Below are 7,885 nucleotides of genomic sequence, written 5' to 3'. Positions count from 1 at the left end.
AATCCCAGCACTTGGGGAGGCTGAGGTGGACGGATTCCTTGAGGTCAAGAGTTCAAGACCAGCCTGGCCAACATGGTGAAACCCCGTCTCTGCAAATAAAAACAAACAAACAAACAAAAAAACAAAATATATATATTAGCTGGGCATATATATAGCTGGGCACACACTGGCAATCCCAGCTACTCAGGAGGCTGAGGCAGAAGAATCACTTGAACTTGGGAGACGAAGGTTGCAGTGAGCCGAGATCATGCCACTGCACTCCAGCCTGGGTAACAGAGTGAGACTCTGTCTCAAAAAACAAACGAACAAACAAAAACAAACAAAAACACAACAAAAATTAAGATAGCTTGTCTTTATCCATTTCAGTTGTTGACCAATTTAACCTCAGGATCAGCTGTCCAACAATGGACATTCTCTCTTAAAATGCTCTGGCTTTCCACACTTGCAACATCCACTCATAGTCTTAGGAGGTTTTCCCTGCATTTCCCTTCTTTCTTGGTGTTGAAGTCTATTATAGCTTTGTCTCCTCTGAGGGGGATCTTGATCTAATCGTTTTCTGACTACCTCTTCCACAGTGGAAACCATGCTTTTCGCTTTCTGTTTCTGCTTCTCTTCCTCTCTCCTTACAAAAACCCTCTGAGCTTCCCTCAGCAATTCCTCAATCGGTTTCTCATTCCATCCATCAAGCTTTTGTAATTTTTTTGTAATGTCAGGCCAGCTCTTAGTTACAAAGTTAATCTTCAAAAGGCCTTGCCCTGCTGGATAATCCGGATCTAGCCCGGAGTATTTTCTCATCTCTGAGCCGCTGCGGGAGTGCAGAGGGAGTTTTCTCTTTTTCTTGTTGAATCTCAAATGCCTTTGAGACATTTTATGTCCTAGGAGTGGATTCTTTGATCCCTCGAATTATTATTTCCCTGAGGTGCTGCATTTGGGCCCAGTCCCTGGGATCATTATTGTCCCATTGGGATTGACATTTGGAAATTTTTTTTTTTTTTATTGATCATTCTTGGGTGTTTCTCGCAGAGGGGGATTTGGCAGGGTCATAGGACAATAGTGGAAGGAAGGTCAGCAGATAAACAAGTGAACAAAGGTCTCTGGTTTTCCTAGGCAGAGGACCCTGCGGCCTTCCGCAGTGTTTGTGTCCCTGGGTACTTGAGATTAGGGAGTGGTGATGACTCTTAACGAGCCTGCTGCCTTCAAGCATCTGTTTAACAAAGCACATCTTGCACCGCCCTTAATCCATTCAACCCTGAGTGGACACAGCACATGTTTCAGAGAGCACAGGGTTGGGGGTAAGGTCACAGATCAACAGGATCCCAAGGCAGAAGAATTTTTCTTAGTACAGAACAAAATGAAAAGTCTCCCATGTCTACCTCTTTCTACACAGACACGGCAACCATCCGATTTCTCAATCTTTTCCCCACCTTTCCCCCTTTTCTATTCCACAAAACCGCCATTGTCATCATGGCCCGTTCTCAATGAACTGTTGGGTACACCTCCCAGACCGGGTGGTGGCCGGGCAGAGGGGCTCCTCACTTCCCAGTAGGGGCGGCCGGGCAGAGGCGCCCCTCACCTCCCGGACGGGGCGGCTGGCCGGGCGGGGGGCTGACCCCCCCACCTCCCTCCCGGATGGGGTGGCTGCCGGGCGGAGACGCTCCTCACTTCCCAGACGGGGCGGCTGCCGGTCGGAGGGGCTCCTCACTTCTCAGACTGGGCGGCCGGGCAGAGACGCTCCTCACCTCCCAGACGGGGCGGTGGGGCAGAGGAGCTCCCCATATCTCAGACGATGGGCGGCCGGGTAGAGACGCTCCTCACTTCCCAGACAGGGTGGCGGCCGGGCAGAGGCTGCAATCTCGGCACTTTGGGAGTCCAAGGCAGGCGGCTGGGAGGTGGAGGTTGTAGCGAGCCGAGATCACGCCACTGCACTCCAGCCTGGGCACCATTGACCACTGAGTGAACGAGACTCCGTCTGCAATCCCGGCACCTCCGGGAGGCCGAGGCTGGCGGATCACTCGCGGTTAGGAGCTGGAGACCAGCCCGGCCAACACAGCGAAACCCCGTCTCCACCAAAAAAGTACGAAAACCAGTCAGGCGTGGCGGCGCGCCCCTGCAATCGCAGGCACTCGGCAGGCTGAGGCAGGAGAATCAGGCAGGGAGGTTGCAGTGAGCCGAGATGGCAGCAGTACAGTCCAGCTTCGGCTCGGCATCAGAGGGAGACCGTGGAAAGAGAGGGAGAGGGAGACCGTGGAGAAGGAGAGGGAGACCGTGGGAAAGGGAGAGGGAGACCGTGGGGAGAGGGAGAGGGAGAGGGAGACGGAGAGGGAGAGGGAGGACATTTGGAAATTTTTGTTCAGCTGGCAGCACTCCCTGCCTAGGAGGGTGTTGCCTCTCCCTGATGGTCATGGCCACTCTCCTAATCATTCCCCTTTCTTCTCCTGTGAACAGGATATTCATGATAGACATCATTTCAGCCCAAGTGTAAAAGCTGGTCCTAGGAATTGGTCCAGCTGGTCTGCTAAACTGAGGGGAACTTCTAGGAGTGGTTTCATTTCCTTCTTGAAATTCCTAACTTCAGTACTTGTAAAAGGAGCATTTACAAAGCCAATCTCTCCCTGTCCCATGGGAACTTCCCTAAGAGGGAACATGCTAGATGCCTGCTGTGTGGAAGGGATAGGGAAGTTCTCAATATCCCTCTTACACTCTTGTAATTCTTTTCTTAAATTTGGATAAGGATTTAAAGGAGCAGTTGGCTTGGCTCCCCTGTAGTCTCTGGGTCTTTCTTCCTCTAACCCTCCTGCTGCCCCTTGATCTTCCTGTCCCCTTTTTTGTGAGACGTATGAAGGGGCAAGCACGATAGGGGGTCCCAGGGCTTTTCACTGGGTGAGGGCTCTTCACCAGGCTCTTTTTCTTCTTTTTTGAGGGGGATCATGGGGGCTAATTCCTTGATTCAGCAGAGAGTAACCTATCTCTTCTTGTGAGGATGAAGTTTTATTATTCACAGAGAGAATTAAAGCTTAGAACACAATCCTCATCTGAGCCAAACTTAGGCCAAAAGACAGAAGGCTTATGAATGGGGTCTTTGGGCCAGACAAAACAGCAATACTTTATCATCTTTTCCTTTTCCTTGTCCCTGGTTCGAGGGTTGTTCCACCAAACCTGCAACAATCTCCCCAAAGGACTATCCAGGGGAATGTCAGAGGGAGTCTCTTTGGCTCCCTCTTTCCTTTGGCTCCCAGGCCTAGAATTCCTGTTTCCCATTTTCTGCCAGTCTCTGCGTCTGAGTTTTTCCCTGTCTACTCAACCCCCCTTACTGGAGGTTTCTTGCACACCCCGAGACCTCCAAAAATGCCCCACAACCAAGGCAGTACTTACAGTCCAATTTTCCTTCCTTGGCTGGTGCATGAGTTTGCCTGGTTCCCGCAGTGCCTGCTTTTCTCCCTGTGTTGCTTCTGCTGCCTCCTGAATAATAGTCTTGGGTTTGTTTATGCCTTTTATGGGAAGCTGGGATGCCCAGATAGAGCGGGCCACCTAAATCAGGTGGGACACATCTCCCCTCTCGGCCAAAGTCCCACTTCACACAGGCACATGGATCCCAGATGGGCCCCCACGCTTGTGAGAAACACACTCACCTGTCCAAATCCAAAGAATGGACTTAGAGGCCTGAAGAACAGCCAAAGGGAGACTTTTAATAATGGTCTTGCAAGATCAGGTGTCTGGTAGGCAGGCACAACCGGGGCGGTCACAACAGGTAATTTATCTCCTAGCACACAAGTCCCTCCCCCAGTTCCTCACTGGTTGAGTACTGTGGGGTTACAATCTTCCCAGACATTGCCTAAGTTTCATCATCCCCCTTATAAGATTATACCCCTGTCCTCTTCCCTGCTTAAGTTTCGATTTCCCAATAATGAAACTTTCTTCCCTTTTATGAGCTGACCCCTCCTCTACATTCTGTTCACTTCTCGTGACCTTCTAGGTGCATAAGCCATGTGGTCTGTTACATTTGCAGGCTGGCTGCCGGTGCTTAGATTTATCATGCTGAAAATGGACCATTTAAAATGTTTTCTCACAAGTCTTGCATGTACAAACATGGAAGGCAACATTCACATTCAGAAGCACAAAAAGCAAACAAACTGAAATCAACAATGCTTCATAGATTCAGTAGAGAATTGAATTTACAGGGCAAATCGCTGCCCGAAATTGGAAAGATAGAGAGGCACTTTCAGAGAATCATAACTTACTTGATCAGAAAACTATAATAAACCTCTGTGGGAAACAACACAAGTGAAAGAAAATCTAAACTCTAATTGGTGAGTTGCTTAAGTTTGAGAGTTAAAATCTCCAGAGTACCCATTCTCAGGGGTCCTCACAAATGGATAAGTTCTTCTCCAGAAACACTCTCAACCCTGTCCTCATGAAGAACACAGCATTGTCTCCTGCTTCTAGCAGGAGAAGAAAAGTAACAATTTTCAAGTATGTCCAGATAATTCTGTTCTTAAAGGTCCAGCCTTCAAAAAAACAAACAAACAAAAACAAACAAAAAAACCCAACCACCTATTTCTCAAAAGCCAAACTAACCGAGATTTTACCAGAGCCAAACCTCTTGAGGCCAGGCGCAGTGGCTCATGCCTGTAATCCCAACACTTTGGGAGGCTGAGGCGGGTGGGTCACCTGAGGTGAGGAGTTCGAGACCAGCCTGGCCAACATGGTGAAACCCCATCTCTACTAAAAATACAAAATTAGCCAGGTGTGGTGCCTCATGCCTGTACTCTTAGCTACTTGGGAGGCTGAGACAGGAGAATTGCTTGAACCCTGGAGGTGGAGGTTGCAGTGAGCCAAGATCACTCCATTGCACTCCAGCCTTGGCAACAAGAGCGAAACTCCGTCTCAAAAAAAAAAATCACAGGGGAATTCTTAGAAACACTCATAATTTTAAACCTGACAGCAACTAAGATGAAAATGTGTTTACCAACATTGGAGTTACAAAATTAAGATACAAAAATCAATTCCACTTTTATACACTTGAAAAGAAATATCTAAAAATGAAATTAATAAAAAAAGTCATTTATAACAGCATCCAAAGAATAAATACCTAGGAATACATTTAACAGAAGAAGTACAAAACATAGACTCGGAAAACTACATACCTTGTTGAAAGAAGCTAAAGCTGTAAATTAATGGAAAACAATCCCATATTTATAGATCAGTAGGCTTAATATTATTAAGATAGCAATAACTCTTCAAAATAGCTACAGATTCAGTACAATCCCTATCAGAATTCCAGGTGACTACCTTGTGAAATTTTAAAGTTGATGCTGAAATTTACATATGAAATTACAAAAAACTCAGAATATCCCAACAATCTTGAAAAAGAGCAAAGCAGAGGGACTCAAACTTCACAATTTCAAAATGTGCATCAAATCAACAAAAAACAAGATAATGTAGTTAGTAAAGGCACAAGGAAAGTCATTTAGATAAATGATATACAATAGAAAGTCCGGAGAGAGTGACATCAGCAAAATGGCAGAGTGAGCTACTCCAAACACCTGTCACTGCACAGAAACATAAAAAAACAGGCACAACTATCAGCAACAACTTTGTCAATACTCTTGAAAACCATCAAAGGTTTACAGTGATCATGTGAATGCAGACTCAAAGAAAACAAAGAAAAATAGGAGAAAAGTCTTGTAGCGTTTTTACTTGTCTTTGCCCAAACCCCTCCCTTTCTCAGGGCCAGTCTTAGGCAGCAGCTTGCGTTCCCTGTGAAAGAGTCTGGTTTCAGAGGGAGCAAAACAGATGTTATTTGCAAATTATTGCATTTGTATGTTACAATTTCTCTGTGTGCTGAAGAATTGAGAAAGCCCCTTGCCTGCCCGAGAAAAAACACATGTTCAGAAAAGACTAGAGAAGACTCTCATTTTCAGCACTGGTTGATCTCTAGGCTTAGTTCAGTGGGAAGGGAAGGCTGAAGCAGAGTTTTAAACAGCTGAAGTGTTAAAGAAATACCCATCACAGAACCATTTACACAAACCAGAAGAGGTAAGGCTTTTATTTCTTCTTTTTTCTCATTCAAGGAGATATGTGTCAAAACACTACTGAACACAAGCAAAAAAAAGATCAGACTTTAGTGACTATATACAAGTAATGCAGTCCCTGCAAAAATATTTTGGAAAAGTCACTTTAAAAAGTAGACAACTACATTCTTCAGCAAACAAGAATAGCAAATACTAGAGCAGAGGGAATAATTTCCTGAGTTATCCCATTAAAATATTTAAATGTTCACTCTTCAACTACTAAAATTACAAAGCATATGAAGAAACAAGAAAATATGGCTGAGGAATGAAAAAAATTATTTGAGCTAAACCATCTCTGAAAAACCCCAGACAGAGTTACTAGACAAACACTTTAAGTCAATGTATTAAATCTTTAATATGTATATGCCTAAAACAGAAGATCAAAATATATGAGGCAAACACTTTTAAAACTTTTAAAAAATTAAATATTTACAATGATAGTGGCAGACACCAACACACCTCTATCAGTAATTGACAGATCAAGAAGGCAGAAAATTAGTAATAATATAGTTTAACTCCACAGCATCCATCAACTGGATTTAATTAGTGTTTACAGAATATTTTAACCAACAGCAGCCAAGTACACATTCTCATAGAAAATCAAAGAATATTCACCAAAATAGACCACACTCTGAGCCATAAAACATATCTTAACAAATGTAAAAGACTAGTTAACATATAAAGTATGCCCAGAAAACATATTAAAATTAAACTAGAAAGCAGTAACAGAAACAGTTGTAAAGCCTTCAAATAATTGTAAACAAAACAACAAAGTTCTAAATAACATAAGAGTCAAAGAAAAGTCTCTAGAGAAATTTAAATATTTTGAAGGAAATAAAAGTATATCATATGAAAATTTGTGGAATGCAGCACAAGCAGTGCATAGGGGGAAATTTAGTGCACTGAATGCATGTGCTTGAAAGGACGAAAGATCTAAAATCTATAATGTAACCTCCTACATTAGGAAACTAGAGAAAGAAAGTAAATCTAAATCAAGCACAGAAAATAACAATGGGAGAAGACATCAATGAAGATGCAAACAGGAAATCAATGGAGAAAATCAACATACAAAATGCTGGTTTTTCGTGAACATTGATAAAATTAATAAGCCTATAGTGAGGCTAGAAAAATAGAAAAAGCATAGAAATGACTAATTAGAAATAAAAGAGGGGCCATCACTACTAATCTCATGGACATCAAAAGGCCAGTTTCATAACCAGAAAGTTGATAACTTAGTTGAAAAAAACCAGTTCTTTGAAAGATGCAATCTCCCAAAAGTCACACATGGAGAGATAAACAATATGACTAGGTCTATATGTATTAAAGAAATTGAATCAATAACTAATAATTACTTACATAAGAAAAAAAGGTCTAGATGGTCTCACTGGTGAATTGTGCCAAACAGTAAAAAAAGAAAACAGAAAAATTGACACCAATAAGCCACAATCTCTTCCAAAAAATGAGAGTAGGGTAAATACTTTCTAAAGCCACTCTATAAGGTCAACATTACCCTACTACCAAACTACATGGGTACATTACAAAAAAAGAAAACTATAGACAAAGAAGTCTCATGATCATAGATGCAAAAATTCTCAACAAATACAAGCAAAGTGAATCTAAAGATGTATTAAAAAATTATACAGCACAACCCACATGGGAATTATCACAGGTGGAAAAGGGTGATTCAAAATTCAAAAGTCAAGTAATGTAAACCATCACATCAGAAAACTAAACAACAAAAATTATTATATTAATAATTGTAGAAAAACCATAAGGCAAAAAAGGGGAAATATATTGAAATTAAGGAGAAAGAA

Source organism: Homo sapiens, chromosome 1, assembly GCF_000001405.40.
Source record: "Homo sapiens chromosome 1, GRCh38.p14 Primary Assembly".
NCBI lineage: Eukaryota > Metazoa > Chordata > Mammalia > Primates > Hominidae > Homo > Homo sapiens.
Note: the sequence above shows the minus strand (reverse complement) of the source record.